Source organism: Homo sapiens, chromosome 2 (genome assembly GCF_000001405.40).
Source record: "Homo sapiens chromosome 2, GRCh38.p14 Primary Assembly".
Classification (NCBI taxonomy): Eukaryota; Metazoa; Chordata; class Mammalia; order Primates; family Hominidae; genus Homo; species Homo sapiens.
In genome coordinates, this window is record NC_000002.12 from 108,535,080 (window position 1) to 108,553,515 (window position 18,436).

The 18,436-nt window shown below is 39.0% G+C and overlaps 1 protein-coding gene across 5 annotated transcripts in view; it reads left to right on the plus strand.

Annotated features, from left to right (window-relative positions):
- The window catches only part of LIMS1 (LIM zinc finger domain containing 1), a 153,576-nt gene that overhangs the window by 1,409 nt on the left and 133,731 nt on the right, over positions 1-18,436 (plus strand). The gene's annotated exons all lie outside the window — the stretch shown is intronic.

An 18,436-nucleotide genomic window follows, 5' to 3' on the forward strand; every position in this document is an offset into this window, starting at 1 on the left:
TAGGGTTTTGCTAAAACAAAAGAGTTCGTGGGACGACTGGCGTCCTTTACAGTTTGCGAATCTCTTGAGTTGTCTGACTTAGTAGAGACAACTACGTTCTCCCATCTCCTTTGCAGTTCAGTCTGTTGCGGTATGTTTTTATATGAAGAAAATCTGATCTTACACAGATGTGTAGTTGGAAAAGTGAGTACTGTCTTAATAGCTGTTTCAGATAATTATGGGTATTCTTTATTACTACACCAAAACTACGTAAGTGGAAGTTTCTCAAAGGCTGGTTTGGACGTGGAATCTGAAGCTACTGTCAGCGGACTTTTCACACAGTTTCGTTAAAATTCCTTGGTCTGTCTTGCAGTTTGAATGCAGCTAAAGCTCCTGTCAGTGGCCTTTGCACACAGTTACGTTAAAATTCCTTGGTCTGTCTTGCAGTTTGAATGCAGCTGTTACCCATTGTAACACCATATATTTGTCGTTTGGAAGATATTGGCTCACTGAGTTTGGCAGATCTCAAGCTGACGCATTTCATTAATAGCGCCGAATAACATTCGTTACCATCGCTATTGATTTCATTAGGAAAGTCTTTATGTTAAAAGCCGTCAGATACAAGGTGGTGTTTACAAGTTTTCCAAAATTCTCATTTTCGGTTGAAAGCTTGCTTTTTATCATTGGGAGCAAAATATTGTCAATTGTTTTCCTCAAAGTGACAGACTCACTTTGTTCAGTTTCAAGGAAGTGTCCGGCAATACAGGTTTAAATAACCCTAGTTTGTCAGTTGTTCTTTCCCGTAAAAATGGTATTTCATGACACAAGCAAGTTAATTCAGCTCATCGCTCTATTACAGAAGTGCACGCCTGCCATTTGGTCACAAGTAACAAAAAAGAGTCAAAGCTCAAGATTTGATAACAATAATTTGTACTCCTTCATCATGGACTTTTTTCCTTAAAAAAAAGTATTGACTAGTAAGTTGATATAAAATTTAAAGTATTTGTGAGATATTAAGAATAACGGATATGTAGTGTAATAAAGGAGATAATAGTTTCCTTTTAAGACCTTCAAACCTCTCTGGTCCAGTGTCTCTCCGCATCCTATCCCCTTCCCATCCTGAATTTACCATTAGTAATTTACTTTTTGGAGGGAGAGTAATAAGTTCATTCAAATTATTGTGCATCCGTAACCATCATACATGTCCAGAAATCTTTATCTTACAAAACTGAAACTCTGTACCTATTAAACAATAATTCTCCATTCCCCTCCTCCCGCCAGTCCCTGGCAGCCATCATTTTAATTTCTGTCTATGACTTTGACTACTGCTGGTACCTCATATCTCATGTAAGTGGAATCATACGCTATTTGTTGTGCATGTCATAGTTTGTTCCTTTTTGTTGCTCAGTAGTGCTCCATGGTATGGATGTACAGCAGTTTAACTGTTCACATGTTTGAAGGACATTCAGGCTGTTAGTTTTGGGCTATTAAGAAAGCTACTACGAACAAATAGACAGGTGTTTGTTGTTGTTTTTGAGACAGTGTCTTGCTTAGTCACCCAGACTGGAGTGGAATGCAGTAGCATGATCATGACTTACTGCACCCTAGACCTCCCAGGCTGAAGCAATCCTTCCACCTCAGTCCCCCAAGTAGCTGGGACTACAGACACACGCCACCATGCCTGGATAATTTTTGTATTTTTTTGGTAGAAACAGGGTTTCGCCATGTTGTCCAGGCTAGTCTGGGGGTCCCAAACTCCTGGGTTCCAGCAGTCCACCCACCTCAGCCTCCCAAAGTGCTGGAATTTTAGAGCCACTGTGCTCAGCCTGTCTAAGTTTTATGTGAATGTAACTTTTCCTTTTCTGGGATAAATGTCCAAGAGTGTGCAATTGGCAGGTTGTACAGAAATCGTATGTTTAGTTTTTTGAGAAACTGACAGTTTTTTTCCAGCATGACTGTACCATTTCACTTAAAAAGTGAAATTGACATTATTTTCCTGTGAGTACATAAAGGTAAAGAATTCAGGGACAGTACCACGGCCCTCTTTAGTGCTAAGCGGCCAGCAGTTGTACCGACTGTTGTTTTTGCACTATCTGTGTGTCAACACAGTCCACAATGCTACAGTGACTTCTTAGGAATATCTTAGTATGATGAAAATAGTTTTGATCTCTCGGATCCCTTAGAAAGGTCTTGGAGACCCTCAGGAGTTCAAGGCCATACTTTAAGAACCACTGTTAAAGACATAATCCTAAATGATGAAGGATATGCAGGTATTGGGGATATTTAAAAAGGAACAAATACAAGGTTTCTCTTAAAATTGCTCTTGAATGCTTGTGGTAGTGTGTGCCTTGTAGTTTTGGCTAGTTTTAGTAGGATGTAATAACTAAGACTTGGACCACCATGGAAGAAGCAACTTTCTGCCTTTCAGGATTTTCCCTGATAAGAAAATGGCCAGTGCCATTATGAAGAGGGACAATGCCATGGGCCTAAGTGTATTCACACTTTTCAGTGCTCTGTGCCTGTTTGTATGGTGAGAAAATCGAACTGTTGATTTTTAAGAAAGCTAAGGAAAGTTTGGTGGTACAAAAGATCATTTCAGTTCTGGTGGTTCCGGTTTTTGCAGGCTTAGAGAAAACTGTCCATCAGGATTGTGCTGTCTTGATTTTATTTGATCATTCCCACCCTTTTCCCTTTGCTGTAGCCCCTTGACCTGTCTCCTGGGCAGTTCTTTCCTTTGCTAAATGTGAGTACAACAAGTAGGCTTTCCTTTCCTCCTAGAGAGGGGGACCTTGGAGCCCCTCCACTGGGTCAGAGAAACTTCCATAGCTGCAGCAGATCAGTAACAGGAGAGCCGAGCTTTACTCTGAAAGCCTCTATTTTCAATAATGTTGTGTTTGCTCTTTGGATAATCATTTAAATAAATAAACCTCAGTATAGGTCATGTTCTTACCTAGGTTTGCACTTAAATAGAAGGAAAAACATCTCAAACCATTTTGTTAGTTTTATAGTTCTCGTAACTACACTTTAAGCTGTGGTTTTCCACCCACAGGGATGTCATCTACATTATATGCTGGACTGTTGCCACATTGTCTTCCAAAAACTTTAATTTTAAGACACTTGAGAAGCAGGAGCTGCACTACCTGTTGCCATATACTGTGCATTCTTCAGCAACAGAGGTTTCCTTTTCACTCTTTCTGATATAATCTCATCTCTTTTATTTGATCATATCACACATTTCCACCCTGGAGCTTACTGCAGGAATGAGTAAGGGAGTCATTTTCCTGCATCTTTTTTCACGTTGGAGCACGTTTTGGAGCTTGATGAGTCTTCAGTGACATTTAACAGTGGGGCGGGACAGCTGCAGATAAAGCAAGTGCTGAAGAGTGCATTCTGTGAGAGGTAGGAAGAAAGGTGAAGGCAGTAGTTCAGCTGCTGGGAGTATGTGCTTGGCAGTGGGAGGCACGGGACTCAGCATCAGCACACCAGGAATCCAGGGCTTTCAGGATGTCTGAGTAGCAGGCAAGGTAAAGCAAGATAACAGACAACATGCATTTACAAGTAATGTTTACACATACTTTCCCTTTCTACAAAAATGGAATCATAGTCATACTATTCTGCAATTGCTTTTTTTAGTATTAAAAAAGTTACGGGAAAACATGCAAAACAAAATTTACTATTTTAACCATTTTTGAGTGTACAGTTCTGTGGCATTATGTACATTGACGTTGCTGTGCAACCATCACTACCCTTCCTTCCAAGAACTTTTTCATCTTCCCAAACTGAAACTCTGTGACCAGTAAATACCAACTCCCCATTTCTTGCAATTGCTTTTTTACTTCAACAAGCTGTCTTAGAGCGGTGTATCTGGGTTTACCTTATGTTTTTTAACCTTAGTTTTAATGGCTGCATAGTATTTCACAGTGTACATGTGATATGATTTGTACATCCAGTCCTTGACTAGTGGTTATTTGGGTTCTATTTTTTAATTATCACAAACACTTTGAACATCTCTGCCAGAGTGTTTTTTGTTTTGTTTTGTTTTTGAGACAAGGTCTCACTCTGTCACCCAGGCTGGAGTAAAGTGGTGCAATCATGGCTCACTGCAGCCTCAACCTCCTGGGGTCAGGTGATCCTTTCACCTTAGACTTCTGAGTAGCTGGGACAACAGGTACATGCCACTATGCCCGGCTAATATTTTGTATTTTTTGTAGTGACAGGGTTTCCCCATCTTGCCCAGCCTAGTGTTGAATTCCTGGCCTCAAGCGATCCGCCCTTCTCGGCCTCTCAAAGTTCTGGGATTACAGGCGCGAGCCACTGCACCCAGCTACCAGAGTTTTCATAGCTTTCTGAGTGTAGAGTTAGTATGTGCATGAGTGTTTGGGTCCATGTTCTAGTCCTAGTTCTGTCCCTTCATGGCTCTTTGACTTTGGCCCTGTCAGCGTCTTTAAGCCTCAGATTCTTAATTTATAAAATAATCCCACCTGTCTCAGAGGTTGTTGTGATAACTAAATATGAAGGCAAATGCAAATATTTCTGAAAGGATACCGATGAAATTTTTAGTGATTGTTGCTTCTGGAGAGGGAGTCTAGGCACCTGAGAATCCAGGATGAGAGGGACATTTTTTGTTGTATAGCTTTTTGTACTGTTTTGATTTTTAAAATCGTGTATGTTTTCATTTTTAAACCATTTAACACCATGCCAGGAACATAGTAGATGCTCAATGAAGTCATCATTTCCCATCATCCTGGTTCTTTTCCTCCGGACTTATACTGCTGCTAATGGCACCTAACATGGTTGCTTTTGTTTCTTCCTGTCCTTCCCTCCCTATAGCCACCTTCTTGCTGAGTTCTTACCTTCGAATTTTCTCTTGAATCCATCGTTTTCTTTTTTCACTCCTTTCTTACTGATTTCCTTTTCACCCTGGTTCTGAAAATCTTTCAAATGAACATAAGATGATAGTATTAAGACTGGGAAAGACTTGAGAGAATGCAGAGCCAGTGTCCTGTGGACTGTAAACTTATTCCAACTGGCTTGAAAAAAAAAATCTATGCACATACTAAGTGTTTGAAGTGGAACAAATGATGTTTTGTGAATGTTTCTAATTTTCATTTAACAGGTGATAAAGTACAGATTCCTTTTTTTTTTTTTTTTTTTTTTTGAGACGGAGTCTTGCTCTGTTGCCCAGGCTGGAGTGCAGTGGCATGATCTCGGCTCACTGCAGGCTCCGCCTCCCGGGTTCAAGTCATTCTCCTGCCTCAGCTTCCCAAGTAGCTAGGACTACAGGCGCCTGCCACAACACCTGGCTAATTTTTTGTATTTTTAGTAAAGACGGAGTTTCACCGTGTTAGCCAGGATGGTCTCTACCTCCTGACCTTGTGATCTGCCCGCCTCGGCCTCCCAAAGTGCTGGGATTACAGACTTGAGCCACCGCGCCTGGCTGATAAAGTACAGATTCTTTTAAAGGGTTTGTGGAATTCGTGGTAGTATTTATATAGTGCATGCTTTATCTGTTAACGTGCTAAAAAGACAATCATGGTGACATGAAGATCTAAGAAAATTTATTTAACATTTAAAAAGTGGGTTTATATGTGAAAAAGTTGGAACCTACTGAACTCATGCACTTTAGTGGGTCCCCTGCATTAGCCCTTTATTTAAATACACTGCTTCTTTATTTTACAGGACAGGATTTGCCTAGAAGGTAAAATAGTTTATTCAAGGCCGAAAGTCAGTTAACAGCAGGGTTAGGAATACAGCCCAAGATGTGGTTGTATTGTGGGGTCTCCTCTGCTATATTACGTTGGTTTGCTCTGTTACTTTATTCACATTGCATTGTTACAGTTTGTTGTGTGTATATATTTTATCTTTTTGTCTACAGTATAGAGTAAATACCTTGAGGACCAAGACCTATAGCTGAGCCCATTAACATAGTACATTTGGAAATGTCTGAATGAATTATGGATATTGGCCCAGAATTGTTCTATTACAGGTGTCCTGGATGTCAGTCTCTTTCAAGTGATTCCTTTTGAAGAACACTTCAGAAGTGTTGTTGAAGACCTGGTATTCCTAGCCACATGTGCTGGTGCTTGCAACTTTTTCCTCCCCAGAGAGATCCCTTCCTATTGACGGGCTTCCTTACCAATGCATCAGCTGAGTGACAAATGTTACCAACTACTTAAACAGATATGTTTATTTCTCATTGGTAAATGTAGCTGTTGTTTTGTTTTTGTTTGCTTACTTTTAAAGCTGGGCACATTGCTGTCCATTTTAAAATTTGCCTTGTTAATACAGTGAGGAAGGGAGGGAGAATGGACATTGGGTAGGCAGTTGCAGCTTTTGCCACAGCTAGCTGTTTCTCCTTCTCAGTGCAGTAGATTCAACAGGATTTGTTTTTCTGTGCAGGTACAGTGCAGGTGCACCTGACTGATCTGTCATCCATGTTGGTTTCAGATTTTTCTAAAGAACTACTTTGGTCACATGTTTTCAAAATATTGAGAAGCTGCTTATTGCCTGTCAAGTAGGTCCAAACTCCAGCGCCTGGAATTTAAGGCTGTTTGTGATCTGGCCCAACCCATCTTCATAGCCTTGTCACACACTGTTTCCTTAGCCTTTGTCTCTCTAACCCACTGCCTTTTTCTGAAAATGATGATTTCCTGCCTCAGTGCTGTTCATGCCCTTCTCTGGGCCTGGAAAATCATCATCTTTTGTGTTTTCTTGGCAGCTGGAACAAAATTGCCGCTTCTCTCATAAAATAACGAATTCCTGGAGCATTAATTTAGCCCCCGCTGTGTAGTAGGGAATTAGGGATTCAGAGCTTTTTCTGTTTTCCCAAAGCATTTTGAATTCTTTTTTGGTAATTACCAATTTCTGTTTTGTTTTATAGTTTTTTGTATATATGTCTAAGCTTTTCTGCCAAAGTGTAATCTCTGGAAGTAAAGGAATGTCTTAATCAAATTTGTTAAATATCCAAAGAAAAACAAGCTGCACAGTAGGCTTTATTTCTCCTTTTATTTGTTGTTAGTGAATCGAAAAGTTCAGGGCTAGCTCTGTTTAGTGTCTTTGACGTTGTTTGAATAAATTCACAAAACTTTGAGTAAAACAGGATCATTTTCTTTGGTTTAGCTTGACTCTACAGTGTATTACAGACTGCTGGCAGAGACCCAACATCATGAAACATTTAGGAGAAATTCAGATGATATTTAGGCATCCTTGTTTAGTTTCCTCCTAGGCCACTGTTTTGGAAACTCGGTTAGTCATAACCACCTTCTCTTAATTACCTACTTCCACACAAATACCTTAAGGATATTGTTTTATATAATCTTACCATCACAGCCACACCACGAAGTAGGATCTTTATATCTATTTTACAGATAAGGAAACCAAGCTCAAGAGGTTAAGAACTCACCAAGTCATACAATTAGTGACAGCTGGGATTCATACCGAAGTGCCCTGTAGAGCCCTGTGTCTCCTCACTTCATGGCACTGGTCAAGAAGAGGTCACAGCTCGCTAATTGTTTTTCCAAGTCTCAAGGCTTTTTCTTGGCATGTCCAGACAACCTATCCAGTTTTACTCCCTCCTACCCTTACGCTTATATCATCTTATTGCCAACCATACCACAGTCCTTCTTTCTGAACTTGATTTTTGTTACTCTGCTAGGAGTAGCCTTTCCTTTTTTAAGGGGGTAGGAGTTCCCAAGTCTTACAACTCAAGTCCCAGCTTAAACTCCTCTGTCTTGAAGATGACTTCCTTGGCTGCTTCAACACCTATTAGGCTTTCTTTTCTTGACCTCCCGGAGAATGCATTGGGTAAGATTCAGTTCTCTACCCAAATTTAATGTGTCTGTATTTGTGTGCAACACACAAACTTCATTATTTTTATTTGAACTCTTGGCTGTGCTTGCATATGTGAAAGTGATATTTACAAATTTTGGAACACATCTTTCAATACAATTTGTGTCCATTATATACACTGTACTATGCTATAGGGCATGGAGTATACAGCTGTAATAGAGTGAAGGACACATTGTCTAATATTGTAGCTTTGTGTGTACAAGTCCCATAAGAGACTGTTTAAAAAAGTCTTTTAGAAATTTCACTGGGCATGGTGGCTCACACCTGTAATCTCAGCACTTTGGGAGGCTGAGGTGAGAGGATCGCTTGAGCCCAGGAGTTCAAGATGAGCCTGGGCAACATAGTGGTACCTCATCTCTACAAAAAATTTTAAAATTAGCTGGGCATGGTGGCACGTGCCCGTAGTCCTGTGGCAGGCTAGGTCTCACTAATGCAGGCCTCCATAACAACTGTTTCAATACTGACTGACTGGTTAAGTGAAATAGTAAAAGCTAAACAAGTCAGTGCCCTTATCAAAGGCTGGAGTGTAACAGAAACCTACCAAGAGTTTTGCCTAGGCCTTTCCTGGGCCTTAAAGCATGAGAAAATAACAAAAGAATTCTTAACAGGACCCTTTTAGGATTAAACAAATTTTATTGTGGGTCTGAAAAAACTCCCCAAACCTCTGTGATTTAGTAGGAGACAAGGGTAATCACCTCAGCACCTGGACCCATTTAGATGAAGTAAATCTACTGAGGATCCAGAAGAAGGTCTCCAGCACTCAGACCTTAGTTATAGATTAAAAGAAGTTAATCACTTACGTCTTCAGGTGAATGCACACTTACCTGTAGACATATAGCTTAGAAGGTATATAAGCTCTGGAAAACTGCAATTTTGAGTTGGTCTGGTGATAATTTCCAGGCCTTCTCCCTGTAACTGGTTGCAGAAATAAAAACTCTCTTCCTCCCCTGTTCATCTGCATCTCGTTATTGGGCCACGAGAAATAGCAGCCCAACCCTCAGTTTGGTCCAGGAAGAGTCCCAGCTACTCAGGAGGCTGAGGTGGGAGGATCACTTGAGCCTGGGAGGTTGAGTCTTGCCACTGCACTCCAGCCTGGGCAACACAGCAAGACTCTTTCTTTCTCTGTCTTTCTCTCCCTCTCTCTTTTCTCTCTTCTCTCTTTCCCTGTCTCTCTCAAAAAAAGTAAAAAGAAATTTAAAGGAGGAAGTGGTAATTTGTTAGTAGTTATTATAGATTAGTTGTTACTTATTGAAGACATTAGGACCAGTCAAATATTATTGGATTCTTAGCAGGTAGAGGTGTATTGGTCATCGTAGGGTTCAACCAGAGGCCTGGCTTATTTGGAATGTTGTAGGGAAAATTCAAGAATCAGGGAGAACAGTGCTCTCAAAACATGGGCTGCAGACTTCTAATGGCATGGGGTTCATGCTAAAAATGCTGATTGCTCAGCCTCATCCCATACTTCTTGAGGGATGTATGTCATGAAATCTATGCTTTTTAATTTTTTATTATGGAGGATTTCAAACATATACAAAAATACAGAGAATAATATGTCTCTGTGTGTTTCTGCTCAGCTTCAACAATTATTATTTTATTTATTTATTTTTGAGGCGATGTTTTTGCTCTGTTGTCCAGGCTGGAGTACACTGGTGCTCTTGGCTCATTGCAACCTCTGCCTCTTGGGTTCAAGCGATTCTCCTGCCTCAGCCTCCCAAGTAGCTGCGATTACAGGTGCCTACCACCATGCCTGGCTAATTTTTGTATTTTTAGTAGAGACGGGTTTTCACCATGTGGGCCAGGCTGGTCTCAAACTCTTAACCTCAGGTCATCCACCCACTTTGGCCTCCCAAAGTGCTAGGATTACAGGTGTGAGCCACCACACTGGGCCAGCCTCAATAATTATTGACTGATGGCAAATCTTTGACTGAAGGCCAATCTTTTTTCACTCTTCTCTCCCCTGTGTCATATCATAGAGATTTTAATATGTATCCTTAAAAGATAAGGACTCTTCAAAAAACTGTTTAAACATAACCTCAGCATCACACCTGAAAAAGATGAGTAGTAATTCCTTGATATCATCAACTACACAGTGTTTAAATTTCTGTTTATCCCAAACATCGATTTTATTTTGTGGTTTTTCTAAATTGAGATCTGAATAAGGTTCACAAATTTGATAGGTTGATAAGTCTTTTAGTCTCTTTTAACATATAAGTATACCTTTCATCTTTTTCTTTTCTCTTGTGATTTTGTTGTTGCTGTTGTTGAAGAAATTGCATGGTTATCTTGAAGAATTTCCTGCCATCTGGATTTACCAGCTTATATCCTCAGGGTATATGGTTTAACATCCTCATATATATAATTTTGTTGCCCAGGCAGGAGTGCAGTGGCTTGATGTCGGCTCACTGCAACCTCCGCCTCCCGGGTTCAAGGGATTCTCCTGCTTCAGCCTCCCAAGTAGCTGGGATTACAGGCATCCACCACCTCGCCTGGCTAATTTTTTGTATTTTTAGTAGAGACGCGGTTTCACCATGTTGGCCTGGCTGGTCTTGAACTCCTGACCTCGGTGATCCACCTGCCTCGCCTCGGCTTCCCAAAGTGCAGGGATTACAGGCCTGAGTCACCGTGCCGGTGCATCCTCTATTATATTAATATATTCTGTAAATTGGTAGTTGGATCTAAAAAAGCAGTTCTCAGTTCTTGGTCTTGGGACCACTTTACTCTCTTAAAAATTATTGAAGACTGCTGTGTCTTTTGGAAATAGGTAACTTGTTTGATCTTAAGGGCTCATAGCTGGAGGAGAACTTGCCTCAGGATGAATGGTGCCTTGAGTCTTACCCATATCTGATTCAGATGCACCTCTTTCATAATAAATGGGAAAATGACAGAACTATTTTACCTCACAGGCTGTACAAAAACAGGGACAGGCTGGTTTGGCCTCTGGACCCCACTATGCAGACTTTCAATCTGGATTATTATTAATGCATTGAGGGTTTCAAAGATGGAAATATTCTAATTGTTATTGAAGACATTGCAGGTCCTAGCTGCTGTACTTCTAAAAAGAGAAGCCCTCCTTAACTATTTAGTAATCTGATGATACAATCTGACAGATTACACATCACTCTTATGTTGTTAGCATGTAATCCTGTCTAGTCTCCTACTTAATAATATGTGTATTGCCTTAGCATATATCACTTTAGTATAATACTGGTTATAGAATCTGTGCTCCAAAAGTACATTGTCTGTGGTATCTAGATAGTCCTTCACTTTTGGATGCTTTAGGTTTACAGAGTACTAAATTAGGGTTGAGGTGTCACTTTCTGACTTGGACTAGTGATTGTTTTCCCTTGCTCTCAGGCTACCGCCTTTTTTTTTTTTTTTTTTTTTTTAGGAGACAGAGTCTTACTCTGTCCTCGAGGCTGGAGTGTGTGCAGTGGATCGATCATAGCTCACTGTCAACCTTGAACTCCTGGGCTTCAGGGTTCCTCCTGCCTCAGCCTCCCAAAATGCTGGGATTACAGGTGTGAGCCACGGTGCCTGGGCCGCCCTCCTACTCTGTAAGTGCATGTTGCTCTTGTACTATGAGCCCCTCTGGTTAGGATGGCCTCTGCACTTCTTGGAAGTCCACTGGAATGGTGATAACTTCCCACTCATATTAAGTGATCCCTGTTCATTGGCTGATTGGCATTCCATCATTAATGTTTGGGTCATTTATAGCTAAACCAGCAGAGCCTAGTGGATCATTCTCTAGCGAGCCTGTCTAATTTGAGTGATCTTTTTTTTTTTTTTTAAAGACAATGGTATAAATAGTTTTATGTTAAATATCATACAGACTTTGAAATGTTCAATGAAAGATAGAAGGAAGATAATCTCTAAAGGGCAAAGTAAGTTGTTTATGGAGACTTCTATAAAGCACCTGTAAATCATTTGGGTGTCAATACTGTGCATGTTTTATAATGGAGAATAAAGTTTCCTTAATGATGCTTGTGTTTGAAGTATAACGTTTTGCTTTTCAGTAATGGTCTCCCTGACTATAATTGTGTCTATAACTTTAGTCTGTTACGGAAAAAATGAAATGGCTGATAGATAAGAGTTCTGATTTCATTATGAGGTAAGAAGAAGGGTTGATGGAGTTCATTGGGGGAGTTGTGGTTTGAAGTTGTTTAATGTAAATTTTGAATAAAGGTTTTACCTTGCGCTTTGGATTGCAAAGGTGCAGTTAGACTTTGACTTCAACACAAAACTGGTGTGCTTCCACACTTACTGATAGTGGTGTTAAACTTTTCAGTTGCTGGGAAATAGGCCAAGTCCTGTTGTGGATTGGGTGGTGGATAGTCAGGCAGGACATCCTTAGGGATTGCTCTGCTGTACCCTTCATCACCAAGGGATGGTATAGGGCAGAGGTGGAATTGATGAGGTTGAGGGTGTCTTTCTCTTCAAACCCTTAGAACATGATGCTTAGTGTCTCCAGCATAGGTCAGTTTGCTAACTGCTGGCTCCAAGAGGGTGGACACTCTCTTGGGTGGGATAGTTCTCTCATAGCTGGGCCCACAACACAGATGCAGAAAGAGACAGGTAAAAATGACAGGTGCCAAGCCCATAACTAGCCAAGAGGGACTGTTGGCAGTTTGACTTATGTCTTCTGTCCAGTTGAGATTTGTTCTTTGAGTGTCCTAGAAGCTAAAGCATAGGAATATAGGTTAAAATTTAGCCTGGTTCCTCAGGCTTGTGTTGAACGCCTCTTTCTGTTATTCTAATGGGAAGTTTCAGAACAAAACAATTATTCATTCTCCACTTTCAAATTTTTCCTTGATAGAGTGTGTGGAGGAAATGGTGCCCAAAATACCAGCATTTAAGGTCATTGCCTACATTAGAATATATCGGTTCCCTTGGGTTTTACTGGATTGCTGTCAGAATACTTCTTTCTTTAGAATACAATACGGACTTTGTCATATTGAAGCATGTTTTAGGGAATATATAGTAGTCTTAATTAGAATCTGGAGATGGAGTAATTCATCCGTCAAATGAGCAGCCTTTTGTTTTAGGAGTGTGGGTAGTGATATTTTTGCAATAGCCGTGAAACCTTTGTAAACATGGCTAGAGACTGGTTTTCTCTTTTTAAAAATGGGTTCAAGAAAGTAGGAGCTTTGTGACTAGCCCCATGAAATCTGGAAAGCTGTGTTCGCACTTAGCCCATTTCAGGTCATTGAATGTGTTTACATGACTGAGGATAATGATGAAAAAATGTGGTTAAAGATTTTAAAATGATGGATATCTAGGACACTAGGTTACCTGGTTAATAAGATGGATGAGAATTACAATGATATAACTTTGAGGTGGGTGTAAGGGTAATTGCTGAAACAATTTTAACAATGTTTGGGTTTTGTTTTTTTTTTTTCAATGCTGGCTAACCCACATCAGGAATTGAGAACTTTTTTGTCTTTTGGGCATTTGCCAGATCTATACAAAGCATGAAGCATCTACAGATGTCTGTTTAACACAATTCCTTTATACTTCGTAATGGAATGTTTTAACCCTGAGCATGTGGTATATACTGTATGAAATGTACTTTGTTTTAGACCTGAGTTTTCCAGTATTCGTCAGGTGCTTTCCCTTTGGGAGTGGTATTCATGATGACAGAGGACGTTGGTGAAGTGTAGAATGTGATGCTTAATTTTAATACAGAACTGTCTATTGAGTTTGATGAAAAACAAAACAAGTTCCAGCAATTCCTCAAAATTTCAGAGGTCTGTTCCATGCTCTCCCCACCAGCCCCCCTGGCAAAGGGTCATTTTGGGACCGTGAGAACAGACAAAAACCACATCTCTGATAATTTGCTCATTCATTTAGAATGCTTTCTATGACGGAAGTTACGGCGATAGGTTTTGGAATGTGGAGGGTGATGGGAACTCCAAGGATATAAGGCATGGGAACTCTACGAATATAAGGCTTGGGAACTTTTTAGAAATGAAGTTTTGTTTTGCACTGTCATGCTTTCCAGGATAAAGCATTACTGGAGATTAGCTGAACAAATGAGATGAAAGCCAAAATATGCAGTTGGATATTTTAGATAAATTTTGATAAGACGTTACTTTCTAAGAATATAGCACTTTTCTACAAAAAGCTACCTATGCTTTTTGAGATACTTAAAAATCTCATGCTCATGGGACAGTGCATTGCATATAGTAGCCATTCAGTGAATACTTGTCAAATGAATAAATAATGATGCGCAGTATATTTTATTTGGTATATATGGCTTTTTGTTTGGTTTAGTGAAGTATATTTGTGGGTAGTTGCTAATAAGTAACTTTTCAGTTGACTTGACATTAAATTAGACATGGATTATTTCAATAATAATGTACAAGTAAAGTGTTTCTTTTTTTTTTTTTTTTTTTTTTTTTTTTTTTTTGAGATGCAGTGTCGCTCTGTCGCCCAGGCTGGAGTGTAGTGGCATGATCTCGGCTCACTGCAACCTCTGCCTCCTGGGTTCAAGCAGTTCTCCTGCCTCGCCCTCCCTAGTAGCTGGGACTACAGGCGTGTACCACCATGCCCAGCTAATTTTTGTGTTTTTAGTAGAGACAGGGTTTCCCCATGTTGGCCAGGATGGTAAGTACAGTGTTTGCTTTCTCCATTAGGAGGCAATGCAGGAACAAGTTATTTGATATGGGAAGAGGTTATATTTTAGATAAATGAAGCTTCCAGATTACTGGATTAAATTTTTTAGCTGAAACATTAATTTTTTTCTTACGAATTTCCTCAACTTTCCATATTAATATATAGCTTCAATACTATTAATCAGAATTCCAAGTGGAATTCTTTTGGTAAAATGGACAGAATTATTATGAAGTTCGTTGAGAGGAATAAACAGGCAAGAATAGCAAAAAGCTAATTATTAAGAAGAAAGACAAATGGATAAAACCTGTTAGTAAAATAATTTGTCAGTATGTGTCAAGTTTAAAATGATTTGTAACTTGTAATTTGTAATTTCTACTTTTGTTAATCAAATCTAAGAACGTGTGGAGAAAACTGGGTGTGAGTAGATTTTGGTAGCATTATTTATACTACCAGAAAGTTTGAAACTATGTAGATAATAAAAGGATCACTTAAAATGCCTGATGATATCCTAGAGTTTAGTGAAATTATATAATATTTATCATATTTATTAAAGCTTTGTAATATTTTAATGTCATGACATATTATTCAGAAAAACAGGATGTGAAACTATAAATATGGTATGATTAGAACTTTATAATGTTTAAACATAAAATGACTAGGAAAAATACAAAGTGTTTTTTTAAAAATAAACAGCTGGCTGGGCGCGGTGGCTCACCCCTGTAATCCCAGCACTTTGGGAGGTTTAGGTAGGAGGATCGTGAGGTCAGGAGATCGAGACCATCCTGGCTAACACGGTGAAACCCCATCTCTACTATAAATACAAAAAAAAAATTAGCCGGGCGCGGTGGCAGGTGCCTGTAGTCCCAGCTACTGAGGAGGCTGAGGCAGGAGAATAGCGTGAACCTGGGAGGCGGAGCTTGCAGTGAGCCAAGATCACGCCACTGCACTCCAGCCTGGGTGACAGAGCGAGACTCCATCTCAAAAAAATAATAATAAAAAAAAATAAATAAATAAAGCCCAGGCACGGTGGCTCACGCCTGTAATCCCAGCACTTTGGGAGGCTGAGGCAGGCGGATCACAAGGTCAGGAGATCGAGACCATCCTAGCTAACACAGTGAAACCCCATCTCTACTAAAAATACAAAAAAATTAGTCGGGCGTCGTGGCGGGTGCCTGTAGTCCCAGTTACTCGGGAGGTTGAGGCAGGGGAATGGCGTGAACCTGGGAGGCAGAGCTTGAAGTGAGCTGAGATTGTGCCACTGCACTCCAGCCTGGGCGGCAGAGAGAGACTCCGTCTCAAAAAAAAAAAAACCCAGCTTTAGGCCAGGTGCAGTGGCTCATGCCTGTAATCCCAGCACTTTGGGAGACCGAGGTGGGAGGATTGCTTGAGGCCAGAAGTTTGAGACCAGCCTGGGCAACATAACAAGACCTCATCTCTACAAAAAAAAAATTGTTTTCTAATTCAGCTGGGCGTGGTGGCACACACTTGTAGTCCCAGCTGATTGGGAGGCTGAGGTGCGAGGATCACTTGAGCCCAGGAAGTTGGGTGCAGTGAGCTGTGATTGCACCACTGCACTCCAGCCTGGGCGACAGAGCAAGAGCCTACCTCAAGAAACAAAAACAAACTCACACACAGCTTCGTTGAAGTATAATTTAAATGCTATAAAATTCACTTGTTGCAAGTGTATAAGGCTTTTATGTATTTATACAGTTGCACAACCATTACAACAATGCTGTTTGAGAATATTTTCATCACTCCAAAGTTCACTCATACTATATATATATAAATATATATTTTTATATAATAGATTTTATTTATAATATAAATATATAATGTATTATGTATTATATATTTATATATAACTGTATATTTTATATTTATATATTTAGCTATAATATAATTATATAGTTAAGTATATATAGTATATATAATATATAGTTAGCACACTCTATATACATATATGCGCGCGCGCGCACACACACACACACACACACACACACACACACACACACACGAGACCTCTGTAATTCTCACAAATCCTGGACGTTCAGATTGAAAATGATCCAAGGCATGGTTCCTATATATATATGTATATATATGTATATATGTGTATATATATGTATATATGTGTATATATATGTATATACACATATATACATATATACACTGTATACATACACTAGTATATATGTATATAGTATATGTATAATGTATATGATATACAATATACATACATACCTATGTATATTGTATATCATATACAATATACAGATATATCTGTATATATGTATATGATATACAATATACATATATACACATATACTGTATATATACTATGTAGTATATATGTATACATATGTATATATGTGTATATACATGTATATATGTATATGTGTGTATATGTGTATATATGTGTGTGTGTGTGTGTGTGTGTGTATATATATATATATATATGTATATATATGGAGGAACCATGCCTCAGATCATTTTCAATCTGAACGTCCAGGATTTGTGAGAAGTACAGAGGTCTCTAATGTGTGTATATGTGTGTGTATGTGTGTATATATACATATGTATATTGAGAGAGTTAACTATATATTATATATACTATATATACTTAACTATATAATTATAGTTAAATATATAAATATAAAATATACAGTTTTATACAGTATATATAAAATATACAATATATAATACATAATACATTAGTTATATATACTATATATACTATATATACTACACGTATAGTATATATATGAAACTATATATATACTATACGTGTAGTATATATATGAAACTATATATATACTATACGTGTAGTATATATATGAAACTATATACTATACGTATAGTATATATATGAAACTATATATACTATATATACTTAACTATAATTGTATATAGTTAAAAATATAAATATAAAATATACAGTTAAATATATTAATATATAATAGTAATACATTACAGTTACATATAATATATAAATAAAATATATAAATATATCTTATATATTTATATATATACACTATGAGTGAACTTTGGGGTGTATATATATATATTTTGGGTGTGTGTGTGTGTGTGTGTGTGTGTGTTTTTGGAGACAGGGTGTTGCTCTGTCGGCCATACTGCATGATCACCACTCACTGCAGCCTTGACCTCCCAGGCTGAAGCAATCCTCCCAAGTAGCTGGGACTACAGGCATGTGCCACCATGACAAGCTAATTTTTACATTTTTTTGTAGAGATAAGGTTGCACCGTGTTGCCCAGGCTAGTCTGGAACTCCTGGCCTCAAGCAATCCTTTCAGCTTGGCCTCCCAAAGTGCTGGAATTACAGACATGAGCCACTGTGCCTAGTCCAATTTAACTATAAACACCAGAAGTTTCTTCAGTACTTAGTTTCTGAGGCATAGAGATAGATTGGGGAAAATGAAGGATATTAATCTGAGAATCCTTTGTCACGGCCATATCCAATGAAAAATAAACGAAGTTTAATCAGGATGGCTCTGAAGAAGGTACCAGTGCATGAGAAATCACTGTGGACAGTGATGGGATGTTAAAGAGAAAAGCATAAAAAGAGTCATAATTCATGTGGGCCTCCTCCTTACATAAGAGAATATGCTGCCACTTTCTAGCATGGTCTTCCATGCTCTCTCCTGGACACAATTTGTAGGGTTCAAGGTTTCCTTCTCTCACTGCCCAGATGCAGCCTGGGTGCAGATAAATATCTTTTGAGGGAGAGAGTTAGTACTTGTCTGGGGCTCACTGCCGTTTGTGTGCTTTTAACTGTTGGTCCTTTTTAAAATCATTGCTCCACGATTGAAGCAAATGACCTTTAACTGTTATATAAACTTGGAGAGCCAGTTGAGGACAGTGCTTTATGCTTGGCAGGAGTAAGTGCGGGTCATAATAGAAGCTTTTTAGCAGTGGATTCTGGGCTAAAGTTTCTCTAGGAAAGGCCCAGGATCACACAATCCCAAAATACTAGAGTTAGAAG